At 39.8% G+C, this 17,074-nt stretch overlaps 1 long non-coding RNA gene across 11 annotated transcripts in view; it reads left to right on the top strand.

Annotated features, from left to right (window-relative positions):
* Positions 1 to 17,074, top strand: part of LOC107984195 (uncharacterized) — a 59,329-nt gene that overhangs the window by 5,731 nt on the left and 36,524 nt on the right. For 5 of the 11 annotated variants that reach the window (NR_176060.1, NR_176064.1, NR_176068.1 and 2 more), the window contains one exon: positions 874 to 1,051. This is a non-coding gene — a long non-coding RNA (uncharacterized LOC107984195). Of the gene's footprint in view, positions 1 to 831; positions 1,052 to 16,428; positions 16,670 to 17,074 lie in introns of those variants that run through there. The other 6 variants (NR_176071.1, NR_176070.1, NR_176065.1 and 3 more) reach the window with 4 other exon arrangements.

Genomic DNA, 17,074 nt, shown 5'->3' on the forward strand with positions numbered 1-17,074 from the left:
TCTAGTAATAGGGACTAGGCAGGCACTAGGAATAATAGTCTATGATAAATATAGAAGAAAACAATTTTAAAATCACTGAAAGTAAGTTAGTCATTTTAAAAAGGATACCACTGACATCAATTTCTAGTTTGTTGATTATGTCAAAGCAGTTTCCTGTGTCATTGTTGATCTCTTTAGAAAAATAAAGGAAAAAACCGATGTCAGGATATATTTTCAAAGGTAAATTATTTCCTTAATATTTTTGTCTCTTGGCCAGGCACCGCGGCTCACACCTATAATCCAAGCACTTTGGGAGGCAGAGGCAGGCAGATCACCTGAGCTCAGGAGTTCAAGGCCAGCCTGGCCAACATGGTGAAACCCTGTCTCTACTAAAAATACAAAAATTAGCTGAGCATGGTGGTGGGCGCCTGTAATCCCAGCTACTCAGGAGGCTGAGGCAGGAGAATAGCATGAAGCCGGGAGGCAGAGGTTGCAGTGAGCCAAGACAGCGCCATCGCACTGCATCCTGAGCAAGAGCGAAACTCTGTCTCAAAAAATATATGTGTGTGTGTGCATGTGTGTGTGTGTGTGTGTGTATATATATACGTATATATATATACGTATATATATACGTATATATATATACGTATATATATATACGTATATATACGTATATATATATACGTATATATATACACATACATATGTCTTTTACTTTTTACCCCATATTAATTTAAGCATCCACATTTTAATATGTCAGACAGAATATTGAATGCTTTTAGTTTTTTTCACTTTCTCTAACCCCTACATAAAGAAAAATATCTGCTTTTTGTAATACCTTTATATCTTCAGGGTAAAATAATTATTTAGTTCCAATCATCTTTGTACACAAAGATTTATATGTTAACAAGCTGAATTCCTGCTTCATCTGGAGGACTGCACAGTGTATCTGAGAGAGGATTTTCAGGAGGCCAGAAAATCAAGCTGGAGGGATTTTCAGCGTGTTGGGAGATTGCTACCTGTTTTAAGTCAGGCCATTGCCACGTCTTTTTCCCCACCTTGGAGACTTCAGGTAAATTGCTAAATTTCAGGTAAATTGCTAAAATTGTGCTCCATAAGACTTTTCCTACCAGGAAACTGGTAGATTTAATTAACAGGGATCCATAAGGAGATTCTATTCTCACTGGTTTGTGTTTTGAATCTGATGTCCAGTATTAGAGAATCATATTTCTACACTCTTAGGAAGCTGAGCTAAACATGTTTGGGGAATCTCATTTATCCATTGTTTAAGAGGGTTTCCAGCCAGCCAAGTGTTCAAATCAGGACAGTGAGAAGAGGCAGTGCTGAGGAGTACCCCAGGGGTCAAAGTTTGCATCCTGGCTGGCACTGTGCGTTCGAAATCAGGACCAAAAGACAGCTCTGTGTTGGAATGAAATGTCACTTGGACATTTTATATACTTTATCATATAGAGTTTCATATTATGCATTCTAATGCATAGAGATGGAGGTAGTCAAAGCAACATATTTTTGTAAGTATTTCTATTTCTGTGTTGAAACAGAGTGTTATGAGTTTTAGTAGTGGTGGTATTAGGCTGAGAGTGAGCCAGCAGAAGGTGTGCTAGTCAAGTCTCTTTGGTTGCATATAACTCAAACCAGATCATGTAAGGGTTAGGAAAGGAATGGGTCAAGAGAGGCACTGACTATAGGGACAATCAGATGCCAACAGGAATGAACTGCTGATTACTCAGATTTTGACTTCTGGGTTGGATTTTCTGTAAAACTACATTGGTTCATAGCTGCCAACATCTCTGGACTCCTAAAAGGACCTTTTTTTGGGACGGAATCTCACTCTGTCACCCAGGCTGGATCTCTGCTCACTACAGCCTCCACATCCTGGGTTCAAGCAATTCTACTGCCTCAGCCTCCTGAGTAGCGGGGACTACAGGCATGCGCCACAACGCCTGTATAATTTTTTTTTTTTAATTTTTAGTAGAGAAGGGATTTCGCCACATTGGCCATGCTGGCCTCGAACTCCTGACCTCAAGTGATCCACCCGCCTTGGCCTCCCAAAGTGCTAGGATTATAGGCATGAGCCACCACGCCTGGCCAGGACTTCTGAGTTTCAATTTGGAAATTTCAGAAAATCACAGGGCAGCTTCCCACTGGGACATGGCCCTGTGGCCCCTGCAGTGGACAGCTACCTTGGGGAGAGGGGCTGTTACTGCTCTGTTGTATGAAGTGCTTACCTTTCCTCCAATTACTATAGCCAGACAGGGGGACAGCAGAGGGTGAGGTGGAGGGTTGACTAGTCCAGTCCGGGATACCAGGACACCCTTGTGAGAAGGGGAGCCACTCCCTCTATTTCTCTCTGCAGCATATCAGAATGTCACTCATCTCCCACCACGCTTACCCAGGATTCACCATGCTGCTTTCTTGCCTGGCCTTGCTTGAGCGCTCTCTGGCCTCAGTATGCTCAGTGCACAGCATTAACTCCCATCTTCCAAGTCTTGACCATGCAATCAGAAGAGACATGGAGAACCTACCATGAGCCAGACACTTTTTCTACCCGTTTCCGTGCAATACTTCATTTTGGTTTTACAACATTCCTTCTGGGTAGGATGCACAGTTTATTTACATTTTATAGATAAAATTATTGAGGTGTCAAAAGGCTGAGTGGTTTTCCCAAAGCTACAACCTTGTACATTTTGGAGACAGGCCTGAAACTGTTGGAGGGGTTCAGAGCCCACCTCCTTCTCTTCAGCATCACTATGCACCACGGCTGGGCCAGCCCTGGTCTTGAGTCTCGTAGAAGGTCTCTATTTGCATTAAATGTTAACAAGAAGCCGTCATAGAAGATCCTCCTTCTGTTGGTTTCTTTTCTGCTTGGACTCTGGCATAGTAAAAAAATTCACACACAACTCATTTTGAAAAACCAAATGAAACAAAACAAAGGTCCTCTTAGTCATAGCATCAAAACTGAAAGTTAGTGAAGGGCTTAGAAATTCACCCTGACTTTACACAGGAGGTAATAGCCACTGGGAATACCGAGTAACTCCCCTTCCACCCACACCAGATGGTTTCTGGTGGAGCCAGGACAGCGCTCCTGCCCCAGGACCTCAGGACGAGGACGAAGTCCTGGGCTCTGTTGGAACACAGCATAGGATAATTCTCACAGCTGGGTGGGCCTGGGAGGCAGGAGGCAGATGTGTGCTGAGGGCCACCTGCCAGATTTAGAGATGGAGCACGGATGGATTGAGAAGAGGTTCTGAGACAGAAGTATTGCTCTAAGGATCTGGCGTAGACAAATAGACCCTCCTTGGAAAGATGAGTGGCCCTGGGGTTGTCCCCAAATCTCTGGACCAGCCCAAGCCTATGACTCCCTGCACAAGGGCACCTGCTCTCACTGCGCAAGGATCTCTGGACTTTCTCCTCCAAAGACCTGCTCCTGGAACACAGAGCCCCTCTTCTCCTTCGTATTGGGACCCGCCTGGCCTCACACTAGGAATGTCCCCTGGACAGCAGTTTGAAGGCCCTATGCTCGCTCACTGCACTAAGGATTCTTGAGCGATGGGCGACTTGGTCGACACACAACCCGGGCCCACTGTGCGGAATTGCGTCGAATAAGCTTCTCCCTGGGGCAGAGTCCCTGCCTGTCCTTGCCGCCCCCGTCCTGTTCTCGTCCCTCTATCCTCCAACCCTCCCCAAGGCCCTTTCTCCCCCTACTTCAAGGATGGGGCCCTTTTCCGAGCACTTTGCTCATTGCAAAACATAACCAAATTAAACAAAACAAAGCCCATTTTGGTTTGGGCCTCTAATGTTCTCCTAAATGCTCTCTGATTTTCCATTTGAACCCTAATTTTTCTCAGCCTATTTCTGCAATAAATTATCACTGTGTTTTGAGAAAGTGATAGATTTTGAACCCTTTGGCCCATATTCTTTAATGAATCCTCTTTTAGATTGTAGAGTTTCATCTGAGCTTCCCAATCTTAACTCCTCACTCCCCGCCTCACCCCATAGGGAAGTTAGAAGGATCCGAAGAAGTGGGTTCCTATCAGAGTCTGGCGTCTCCACTGTGGACATGCCACTTAACATCACCTGACCTCTGGATGAATCAAGTCAGTCAGCTTAGCAGGCTCTAAAGCCCCTTTAATTCAAAAACTTGGAGCCTGTATTTTCTTTTCCTTAGATGCCCATGATTTTTTTTAAAAATAGGGATTCTAGTTTTCCATCCAAGACCCTTGCACACTTCAGTACACTTAGTGTGGGGTTCACTTTCCAGACCCGGTCTCCAGGTGCTGTCTGCTTCTCCAGTCATGTTAGCCTGAAACGGCGACTGATTCATGTGCACACTTCGGCTCCCCAGGCCAGAATGCTGTCACTCTGGGGAGGAATTATGGTTTCACTTTTTGCTTCATTCCTGCTGTAGAGAACAGGCACCCATCAAAGTCCAGAGTAAACAGACACTGTTTCACGTGCAGCAGATGGAAGTCTTTATCCATGATTACTTTTGTCCTATGTCTTTCATGTCCCCCTGTTTTTTTGACGCCTCCCACTTTTCCCTTTTAAATACTCTGGGTGATGGTTAAAAGCAAGATGACTGCTGGTTTATTCGTCACACCGGAAGCAAGAAAAAGTTACATGCAGGCAAAGGAGCTGGATGCAGGATCTCATCTGAAGGACAAGATCACTTAGCCATGCACGGGCAAGAAAGAACTGAATGTTTCTGAATAGAGGAAACGTTAGTCCCGGATTTCAACCGAGAGAAGGAATGCTGAGAGTTCTTGACAGCGAGGGCTTCGGCAGGGGTGACACGCCTTTGATTTAGAATGGTTAGCACATACCCACATGCACACATGACCTGCCTTAGTTTCAGGATATGGAAACTTCTGAACAGAATTGTGGGTACAGCTGCATTTACACATATTTACTGGGCACTTATCACATATAGCAAAATATCCTGAAGAGTAAATTACAATCCTCTCCCATCTTGAAGGCACTTATGAAATTCTGTCTGTATTTACTCTTTCTTTAGGGTTAGTGAGCAGCAATGTGTTGCTGATAATTCTAATGTTGCTCCTGGAAATGTGTTATTTTAAGAGATTCACATCCTCCATGTGGGGTTGGAAACATCTGTTCAGAACAGAACGTATCAGTTAAGATTATATTTTGCTCCTCCCAGTTTGAGTCCAGATGGTTACATCTACGCGCTATGTACTACAAGTTTCAATTATCTACTGTAATTTTATTTCTTTTATTTTGTATGTCTAATGAAGCTAATATTTAAAATAACTCCTAATATATTTCTAATGTGCTAAAAGCTAAAGGTCCTTAAGTGTGTGTGTATGTGTGTGTGTGTCTGTTAAAATGTTGTAAGATTACTAGATGCTAAGAATGCCATTTTTAGGCCAGGCGCGGTGGCTCACTCCTATAATCCCAGCACTTTGGGAGGCCTAGGCAAGCGGATCACTTGAGATCAGGAGTTCAAGACTAGTCCGGCCAACATGGTGACACCTGATCTCTACTAAAAATACAAAAATTAGTGGGGTGTGGTGGTGCACGCCTGTGATCCCAGCTACTCTGGAGGCTGAGGTAGGAGAATCGCTTGAACCTGGGAGGAGGAAGTTGCAGTGAGTTGAGATTTTGCCACTGCACTCCAGCCTGGATGATAGAGACACTGTCTCTAAAATAATTAAATAAATGAATGAATGAATAAATAAATACATATTTGTAAAATGCTGTAAGATTACTGTTAAAACGTGTATAAAGCATATTATTAAAGGAAAGGTAAACATTCCCTCCGAGTGGATTTTCTAAATCCAAACAAAGTGAACTTCATCAGAAATAATAGCTTCAAGAAAGAAAATCATTTAAAATGGTGATGAATTGTTATTTAATTCAACAAAATAATACATAGTCCATCATAGAAACATATAATAAAGCGAATTTCTCATTGATCACTATTTTGAGAAAAGTGACAAAGCTATTCAAATGAATAAAAAGTATGTGAATTTTCAGGTAATTTTGTGGGAGAAAGGATGTTTCAGGATGCTTTAGAACATTGATCTCCAAATGTTTGTCACTGTTGTATCCTGTTGTTTTGCAAAATGCAAACTCTCAGTCATTTTTAACGGACATACAAAATTTTTCTTCATATGCTGAAATAGTTGCAAATGATGCAAATTTCAGGATACTATGGACAGATAAAAATGAAACTATGAACTTGTTCTACGAAATGTAGTCAGTGAAATGTCAATAACGAAGTGATTTGATACTGACCACCACCTATTAAAAGAAAAACACAAACAAGCTCTTCAATTACAGGAAATTGGACATTGTTCCTTTTTCTCTTTGAACTTGTATTCCAATTTTATTTCTCCATAGGTTTTATCTTAATGTAATCTTTACTCAAAACATTCTTATTGATTGTTTCGTAATTCCTTCTGTGAAGGAAATACATAAATTGAAAGCAAAATATTTTAATTTTGCCCATGCAGCTCTAAGTGTTACATTTTTCTATATTGGATTGTCATTATAATTACTATTTGTACAAGGCTGATCCCAATAACACACATATACAATTTTATATTTAGCAAATAAAAATATGCAGTTTGATTTGAAATTCCTATCCTAATAAGATAGATGAAATTTTTTTATTAGTTTATACAATTAATACATAGTTAACAGAATGCAGTAAGTGTATCATCCAACCTATTATTGACAACTTTTTAAAATGTAGGCTTTGAGAAAGTTTGAAGTATTACAGAATTTCGCTGACGTATTCGAAATGTTTTCTGAATTAGATAAAAATATCAATCATCCATTATTTAAAAAATGTAGTCTACCAGCTGACAAGTTGATTAGGTTCTCTTTGAAACCAGATAATCAGAATTACAGACAGGCTGTGTTATCCATTTATCGGAGTCTCTAGAATGTCTGTATTGTGGGTTGATCATGTATGGTTTGCTCATTGTCTTCATGGAGCTTTATCTCGAGTTCCTCTGTGATATTATAAAGCTTGCAGAGACGGCCACATCTTTCTTCTTTTTCCATCCTCTCTTTCTCCTCATCACCCTCTTCTTTTTCTTTTTATGTTTTAGCTCCACTTGATATTTTTCTAAAATGCTTCCGCTGTTAAGCATTTAATAAAGTGTCACGTATCTCAAGCATATGATAGGTTAAGCAGCTCATAAAAGAGAATTACACTTGAAAAAAAATCTTTATAGAAAAACATGCATTAGTGTTCTTGTTGATAAGTTCCAGCAGTGATGCTACAATATATCATATTCACTCTAAAAATATTATATTCAGTCTATTATTTAATGTGAAAATCAATTTGTTGGCTTGGACCAAAGCAGAGATTCTTGTTATATTCACAACATGGAACTATTTTAATGACTGTTAAAAGCCCTCCCATGGGAAGCAACCATGTAGCTAAATTCTATGGCATCATCCACAAAAACCATTCTATCTAGATATAACTCTTCTATCAACCAGAGACTTCAATCCGACTTCACATGAAAGTGGCCCAGCTAGTCTTCAAATGCCTCGTGTTAGTATTGTGGTGTGTCCCACATCCGCACTACTGTGGTTCTGGCCAGGGGCAGACAGCCCATCCTCCCAAGGTGAGGATGATTGGAAAGATTCGGTTTGGCTCTGAGGGGATTGAAAAAGGCTTCTCATCTCTCCTTTTTCTTTTTTTTTTCATTGAGTCTAACATCCATATCCCTCCAACCATAACCACTTGGGAAGTATTTTTTTCTCTTATTTTGCCAGATCTTTATTCTTAAATTGCATATTATCTGAAATAAATATGTCTTATGTCCTCATTTTTGTTCCTTTTCTTATTTAAAGAGATCCATACTTTAATAATTTTGCCTTCACTTTAAAAAAAATGGAGTTTAACACAGTATAATCTATTTGGGGGAATTGTAATGCATTTTTAAATAGCTATAAAACAGTAAAGTAAAAAGATAGAGTGAAGTAACTCCATTTTCTCCATATATTTTTTGAAAGTGAACCAGTACCTAGTCATAAATGTTACTTTGCACTGTGGATTGATTCCATTTTGTAGGGCCAGAAACACACATTTTTGAGGACCCTCTTTAAGATGACAAAATACTGAAAGCATAGGCCAGGCACGTGGCTCACACCTGTAATCCCAGCACTTTGGGAGCCCAAGGCAGGCAGATCACCTGAGGTCAGGAGTTCGAGACCAGCCTCGCCAACATGGTGAAATCCAGTCTCTACTAAAAATATAAAAAATTAGCCAGGCATAGTGATGCATGCCTTTAGTTTAAGCTACTTGGGAGGCTGAGGCAAGAGAATCATTTGAACCTGGGAGGCAGAGGTTGCAGTAAGCCAAGATCATGCCACGGCACTCCAGCCTGGGCTACAAAACAAGACTACATCACACACAAAAAAAGTATAAAATAAATTATAAAGTGAAATTTTATTTAGAAAGAAAAATAAATCAAACACATTGCAATCTTTATAAAAGTATACAAATATGACAATATTATAAATTTCAGCAAAGTAACATAATTTTGTAAAAATTAGCTGCCTTACCTAACCGAAGAATTTAAAAAAATTGTTAGAATTCTAATTGAGCATCTTCTCAAGTGCAAAAGTTTATTGTATCTTTATTTAATTAAATGAATAGTAAAATTTAATTTTTCTGAAGAATATAATATTTTAAAATTAATAGTTTCAAAAAAGTCTTTTAGTCTTACAACTTATTATTGGTAATGGCATGTAAATTTAAGGCTGTTGTTCAATTTGTGAAACCTTCTATCAAAAAACTTATACTACAAGTAAAATATCAGTTATCTGTTATAAAAATACATAATTTATAAGATTACAAGGACTTTCAAGATTTTTTAAAAAGTTTTCATTTACTTATGATTAATTAGATTGATTAATGTGACTCATTAACCCATTTATCAAAAACATCCCATTTCTGGTGGCCCAATATGTTTCATTTTAACTTAGTGCCCGTATTTTATGTAAATTCAGCAAGATTTTAAATCTTTTCACAGTGGGTGTCTATGATCCCCTCCTCTTTCTTCTTCTTATTATCAAATAATTCTACAGCCTTTTCGTGGCTTCTCCTTGAAATTTATTTCTCAGCTGCAATAAATTACTGCTTTTGGTTTGATCTGAAAAAATGGGTTTTACATTTTAGTCTCATTGTCAGATGATAAAGTATTTTATTCTCAACACATATCTCTTTATTTTGTTTTATATTCCATTAATATTATGCCTGTATTTCTCTCATGTTCTATTTAATAAATACACTTAAAATGGTTGAAACATGACCATTCTATGTGTATAAATAAGGAGCTCATAATTTCCAATTTCATTGCAACTTTCCAAAACATCCTTCAAATTAGATTATAATGGTACATTCAGGCTTTATGTATCTTTCAAATAAACTTATTCCATCTTATTTGTGTTTGTCTTTCTCTTTTAAGTATTAAATATATATTGTATATCTGGGAGTCCTTAAAACACTGCGAAACCCAATTTCTAAGGCTTGAATACTGTAGTGAGCAGGCCATTTTGTGATACTTAGTCTAAAGAAAAATTCAACTGTTCACGTGCGTTTTTAAATCTAGGAGACAACCTCAAAATGAAAACACAAACTTGCAAAATGCTGAAGAGTTCGACACCTTCAGATGCTATTAAAGGGGTTACTTTCTAAACAAGATTGAGAAGCTGAGCTGGGCATACCATGGCCTGCTACACCTGGCATCCTGATGTCAAGTATTTGACATGGTTGTAGAGGGGCACACTTCCGAGGCATTCCTCTGTTATTGCTTGGGTGAGCAATCACTTATTGGATTTGACAAAGAGCCATGCAGTTATATCCTAGTAAAACTCAAACTGAAAGTACCTCTAACTCAGTCTTCCTTGAGCTGGATCCAAAAATGCCTTAAACTTTATAGCTTCACGGTAAAAGTGCCTTTGTTACATCGTGTCCCCCGTTAAAACCCGGAGGCTGACAAAGTCATACGGTTTAGGAACTATGGCCTCAAAACTCATAAACAAGCTGTGATGAGGCCCAAATCATCATTTCTTTTATTCTCAAGGATCTTAGGGTTTCAGATTAATGATATCACTGCCAGAACAAAATACCAGACTAGGGGGGGTGCTTAAACAACATAAATTTACTTTCTTATAGCTCTATAGCATGGGAAATCCAAGGTCGAGGTGCCTGATAATTTGGATCCTGGGGAGGGCTCTCTTCCTGGCTTGGAAATGGCTGCTTTCTTGCTGTGTTCTCATGTGGTGGAGAAAGAGGGAGTGAGCTCTCTGGGGTCTCACAGGGACACTAATTCTGCTGGATCAGGGCTCCACCTTATGCCTTAATTTAACCTTAGTTACTTCCTTATTCCAAGTAGTTACATAGGGGATTAGGGCTTCGACATATGAATTTTTGTGGGGGCAGGGAATGCTGTTTAATCCATACCCCCATGTATATCATAACCGTCTGTAATAGAACACTCTAAAAGCCAAATTAGAGATATTCCAGTTTATAAAAATTTGATTAAAATTTATTTCCTTGGCTGGGCATGGTGGCTCATGGCTGTAATCCCAGTGTCTTGCGAAGGTGAGGTGGAAGAATTGCTAGAGCCTAGGAGTTTGAGGCCAACATGGACAACATAGCAGGAGACTGTCTCTACAAAAAGCTTTTAAAAAATTAGCTGAGTATGGTGGCACACATGTGTAGTTCTAGCTACTTGGGAAGATGACTTGAACCCAGGAGTTTGAGGCTGCAGTGAGCTGTAATCCTGCCACTGTATTCCAGCCTGGGCAACAGAACAAAATCCTGTCTCTAAAAAAAATAAAAGTAAAAAATAGAATTCTTACCTTGGTTAGAAAAAAAAAAGTATCCTCTTGCATGCAAAATACACTCAACTCACTCTCTTTCCAAATCTCGTTGGTGTTGTTACTGAAGTTCAACTGCTTAGGTTCAGCCTATCTTGATCTGAAGACCTATGAGCTAGAAGAACAACACAACGGCAACGTATAATGGTGCGAGGGGCACAAAATAACCACCATGGCACATTTCCATTTACAACACAAACATATGGCAGCTACTGCTCCATAGCAATTCTGAAATTTCCCAGGACGCATACTGGTGCTTCCTTAAGCAGGTCTCAAGCTGTGTGAGTAATTCCACATGCCTTCTGTCTCTGCCTTCCTGGATCTTCTGAGTCATCTATTTTTCCCCCCATGAAATGTGGCCAGTGCTCCAATCCGAGTAGTTTCCTCAGCTGCTTGTTACTTATAGAAATTTATGGGTCTTAAGAAGCCATTTCTTTTTGAACTGACTCTTTCCTTTTCAGTCAAAGCTAGTGGTTCATCTGCTGCTACACTTGTCTTGAAAAATTGTGTGGGTCTCCCATGAATCTTATTGTAGAGTATTCCATCTTACCAAAGCCATACCTAGAAATGTCTTTAAGATAACCCGTTTTGACCTTGGCATCCTTTCTAAACTGCTGAGGAACAATAGTCTTATGCTTCTTAAAAGCTTTATTGTTTGAGTGAGTGATTTTCTCAGACTTCATCTAGATTTTTCTGAGGCTTTAAAAAGAATTTGAAAACCACACCTGGCTTCAACTTTTTGCCATGTGTTTCTGACAGTACTCTGGGTTTTCTCTTTGCCTGGGAGTCATTTCTTAATTTTAGCATTATTTATTTTTAGCATTATTTATCATCAGGGGAGGTTGATAATTTTCAAAATTAAGGAGTCCTTGTTTCTTTTTTTGGTATCTGTTCTTCCTTTAGTTGATCTCTGTCTTCTTCCAAGAAGCAGCCCAATAGCATTTTGAAAACTCTACCTGGAAATTTTAGCCAATCACCAGGTTTATTAGGTGCATTTTCTATTTTTCACATTACTGCAAGTGCAAATATTGGTAAACTTTCTGCCACTATGTGACAAGGATCCAGTTTTCTTCCATTTTCAACAACATTTTCTTCACTTTACATTAAGCCTTCCCCTATAGCCTTCTCATAGCAACCAGCAGATATTTATTTTCGGTGTTTTCAAGGTTCCTCTGGTTGTCACTTACACCTTCCTCAATATTTTCCCAACTCCTCACTGCTTGTGCATCTATTTGTGCTACCAAAATCTACAATAGTTATCTCTTGCTGAATTAAAAAAATCACCTCAACATGGAGAGGTTTAAAGTTTTAATGCAATTATTATCCTCTCAGTTTCTAAGAATCAGGAGTTCAAGATCAAGGTAATTGGAGTCTCTCAAGACATTGCAGTTCAGGAGGCCACTGGGGGCTTCAGGACCTGAAGACCTTACGGGGGGTTGAGGATCAGCCCCCAGGGTAGCTCCTCCCATGGTGGCCAATGTGTGGTGGTTGTTGGCAAGAGGCCCAGTTTCTTCCCACACTGGATTGCCCTTATGGCTTAGCCATGGTCTTCCCCAGACTGTGTTATCCAAGAGAGAACAACGTGAAAGTGACAGCATTGCTGTGGCCTCACTTCAAAAGCCACTTTCACCTCTGCCAGACTCTATTCACTGGAAGCAGGTCACTCAGTCCGGCTCACTTTCAGAGGAAAGGAAAATTAGACTTGGAAAGGACAAGTGTCAAAGAATTTGTATGTGCATTTTCAAACCACTGCACAGTAGCTACATGATTTGTGGAACTGGCAAGTCTCTAGGGAGGACGAGATTCAAAAATGATTTGAGCAGGCACCTGCCACCAGTGCTCTGTGATTCTCATGGATTTGCCAAACCCCATGGAACATCTTTATCCTCATGATCATTTCCCTCATGATGATGAAATGGCTGCAAAATTCCCAGGAATTGCATTTGCATCCCGTGCTATCCAGAGGAAGAGAAAGAACTTTTCTCCTAGAAGTCCCAGTGACACTGGAGAAATAGAACCTGGGCAGGAGACAGAATGATGCTTAGTTGTTTCTGGTCAGGGAACATATACGATGCCTCGAGTAACAAATATATGAACTGTTTACTGTCGTCTTTAGGGGGGTCTTATAAGGTGAAAACATATTTAATCTTAATTTGTAATGTAAAAATGCAGACAACCTGACTCTACAGTCCTGTTTCATAAGGCTGCACTGTGTCCGTGTGCTAACAGTCGATTGTAAGGATGAAGATTTTTGTCTCTTTGGCCCACTGTGCAGCAGAGCCAAGAACAAGGCCTGACACAGAAGCAAAAGAGGTGTTGAAATATTCAATAAAGGAAAAGGTATCCATAGGATAATAACCATTGCATGAACCCAGAAGCAGCGTCTCTGGTACAAATAAGTTGTTGATTATTGGCGACTATCAGCCTGTTGATCACTATGAGCCAGGGCACGTTCAGCATTGGTCCCTCTGGTCCTGCTGTTCTCGTGGACACTATTTATGGTTCTTCCAGCTCCAGGCTTCCTACCTCCTTCCCCTGCAAAGCCCTCTGTGCACCTTATCTTTCTGGAGCAATGAATACAGACACTTCCTTCTCTGCAATAGGAGGAAGTGATTGCATGTGTTGGGACCCTTTGCCAATTGCCAAGAATTTCTAATTCTGTCCCATTCATTCATCAGTAAGAAATATGAAAAGTAGCAGCACCTTCTGAGCATTTTCTGAACATTAATAACAAATTAGCCTGTTGATGAGGTCACGTTGGTCCACTTGTATTTGGTAAATGAGTATTTTTTAAGAAAAATAAATAAATAACAGGAATATATTGCTTGAGAGTACCTCTGTGATTCAGAAATATCTGGAGTTTCTGGAGGAAACATAAAATCATGTTTCTTTCCCATTTGTTGAGCTTTCTAAGGAGGAAGGAAGTGAGAAAATTTGGAAAGTTCAGAAAACATTAAAATAAAAATCATCCAATTGTTCCAATGCATGAAAGAAAAGGAACAAAACTAAAATTTTCATCTTTTGATTGTCACTATGAAACACTAATTAGGAGGGAAGTGAAACCAATCCTAGTGTTGGGATACGACAGGTCAAATTCCGTTTATAAGAAAAAAAAAACCTAGCATATCAATCCCTAAGGGTCTCCTTTAAAAAAGACAGAAGTTTCTATACTAGTCTATGGATCAAGCTCAAGTAATTTCTTTTCAGTGTTGGAATTCTGATCAACCAATCTCTTCCCAGTTTCCCTGAGGTCTCTCTCCTTGGTTCATGAACACTGTCTCTTCCTCATGCCTCTTCCCACCATCTTTCCTCCATGAGTGTCTGTGTCTTAAGCTCTTCTTACAAGGACACCAGTCATACTGGATTGGGGCCCATCCTAATGACCTTATCTTACCTTAATTACCTGTAAAGACCTTACCTCCAAATATAGTCACACTCTGAGGTATTAAGGATGAGGACCTTTAACACATGGATTTTGGGGAACATGGTTAATTCAGTCCATAACACCAAAAATTATTTTAAATCAGAGTTCTTTGAAAGTGAAAGACAATCTCTTGTTTGAGTCCCCTACCCCACCTCTCTAACCAGGTATGGAGTTTTAGTAAGCCTGTCCTCGTGTATCCCACATGGACCAGAGGTGACTGGACACACTGTAAACAGCATACTTTACTCATGAAGAAGAAGTGCAGCAGCCAGAAGAGGCTGTGGGAAACATTACATCCCTGCGGAGCTAGGTCACTTTGGATGAAATATTTATTTTCCATTTTTTCCACCTTCGGAGACATGGAACATTTTTTTTCCTGTTTTCTGTTGGTTTGCTTTTTTTTTCTTTCAGATGTTGAGGTTCTAAAATTTTAAATATCCTTAGCTTAGCTTAGCCAATAGAAAAAAAAGTTTTTTTTTTTTGTTTTTGAGATGGAGTCTTGCTCTGTCACCCAGGCTGGAGTGCAGTGGTGCAGTCTCGGCTCACTACAAGCTCTGCTTACTGGGTTCAAGTGATCCTCATGCCTCAGCCTCTCCTGTAGCTGGGATTACAGGTGTCTGCCACCACAGCTGGCTAATTTTTGTATTTACAGTAGAGACCGGGTTTCACCAGGTTGGCCAAGCTGGTCTTGAACTTCTGACCTCAGGTGATCTGTCCACCTCGACCTCCCAAAGCACTGGAATTACAGGCATGAGCCACTATGCCTGGCACAAAAGTTCCTTTTGAGATCAAAGAAGATAATGGCTTGTCATTAAAATTGTATTTTTTGCATTGAAAAAAAAAAAAACTGCTACCATGGATGGAAAACATTCTAATCCCCTTTCCACCCTCACAAAGTATTCAGATGAGGGAAGCAGGCTGGGTATGGGACATCTAAGAGTAGATTCTGGCTCTGTTGAGACTTTTTCATATTACAATAGCTCTGAGCTTCTGGAAACTTAGGCTAAGGGACCTGATTTTCTAAGACTGCATGTTCTAAATAACAGATAAAACAGCTGAGTCTCCATTTAGCCTGGTCACTTGTGTCTCTTCCATTTCTTCTTAGGAAATGCAAAATGGTGGTGCTCTAACAAATAGGAAGCATTTTAGAAAGCATAGCTACTCTCAATGCATTAACTAGCAAGATGGAAATAAATACACGCAGCTTGTATCTTCTGATAAAACTCTATGACAGAGAGGAGGGAGCAGGCCTGGGTGCATGGGGAAGTGACACCTCCTGAGCAGCCAGGGTGTCTGATGCTGCCTGAATGTCCGGTGATCACATGTGATTGGCTCAGGAAAGTCCCAGAATATTTTAGGGTATTTAAGGTTTTGACTGGCAAGTAAATTTTTAATAACATTATTTTCTTACGTGCAGCAAATCATCTTTTGTTTTTTAAAGCATGCCCTTTTAGAAAATAGCAGTTCACTTAAAACTGAACTCATGGCGGGCGCCGTGGCTCACGCCTGTAATCCCAGCACTTTGGGAAACCGAGGCGGGTCGATCACCTGAGGTCAGGAGTTCAAGACCAGCCTGGTGAAAGTGCAAAATTCCGTCTCAAAAAACAAAAACAAAAATAAACAAACAAGCAAACAAACAAAAAAAAACCTGAACTCACATGACAGATTCGAAATATAGATTCTCAAAATAATTATTAGATATTTCCACTCCGAGGAAGACTATTGCTCTCACCCATGTTTGCATCTTCTTATTTGAAGGGTGACTTTATAGTATCCAAAAAAATTGGCTCAAAAAAAGATGAACGTTTAAATCTAAGCTTCCTTTCTGCAGATCTGTATACTACATCATTTTAGGTTATTTCTTACTTTTTGTGTTTTAAGAAACAAATTGGGGTGTAGTGTCTTACTAAGCTATTTGGACTTGTTCCTACAAATACTTATGTAAGAGTTCACCAAAAAGAGAATTTATAGGGAGCGCTGCCAGCCTCCAACATTGCAATGTAGAAAAACAGAGTTACAAGTGAAACTGGTCCTTGCCCTTTGTTTTCACTCTTCTGTTTAATTAGGGGAGGCATAGCTGTGGATAATTTATATTCAGTATCATGCACCCTATTAATTATCTTTTTATTCCCAACAAGGCCTTCAGACAACACTCCCGCACTGGGTTTATGAGAGTAACCCCCACCTTCCCAGGAAGTTGGAAGCATTGCCCCAGCCTTTCCAGAAGCTCTGCCTGCCGTTAGCTTGGATCATGAAAATTGGCTCGGCCAGGAGAATACATTATAAGGCCCCAAACCGCGCCAAATCTTAAGCCCTCAGAGCATAAAGATAAACTGATTTACAATTATTTTCATTAAAATGTCATTTTAGGTATATGAATGAACAAGACCCTGGTAAATATTTACTATCTATTCTGCACTACAAAAAGTAGGGAAAGAAAGACTCACCTACTTTCAAGTTGTATTCAGTATCTGGGAAGATAATTTTAAAAGGAAATCTTTAAAAGACCTTATCTATAGAGGGATGTTTTGGGCTCTGAGCCCCCTGAGAATAAAGGCTGGGTTTGTCTTGTTGACAGCTGGAACCCAACCTGTGAGATACCAGCTAGCACACAGTAAGCATCTGATAGACAACTGTTGGGTGGAGGTTGTTGATGGAATCCTAATAAAGAGACTATTACTTTTTTATTTTTTTTTTGGAGACAGAATCTCATTCTTTCGCCCAGGCTGGAGTGCAATGGTGTAATCTCAGCTCACTGCAACCTCCACCTCCTGGGTTCAAGCG

This window comes from Homo sapiens, chromosome 10 (genome assembly GCF_000001405.40).
Source record: "Homo sapiens chromosome 10, GRCh38.p14 Primary Assembly".
NCBI classification, from domain to species: domain Eukaryota; kingdom Metazoa; phylum Chordata; class Mammalia; order Primates; family Hominidae; genus Homo; species Homo sapiens.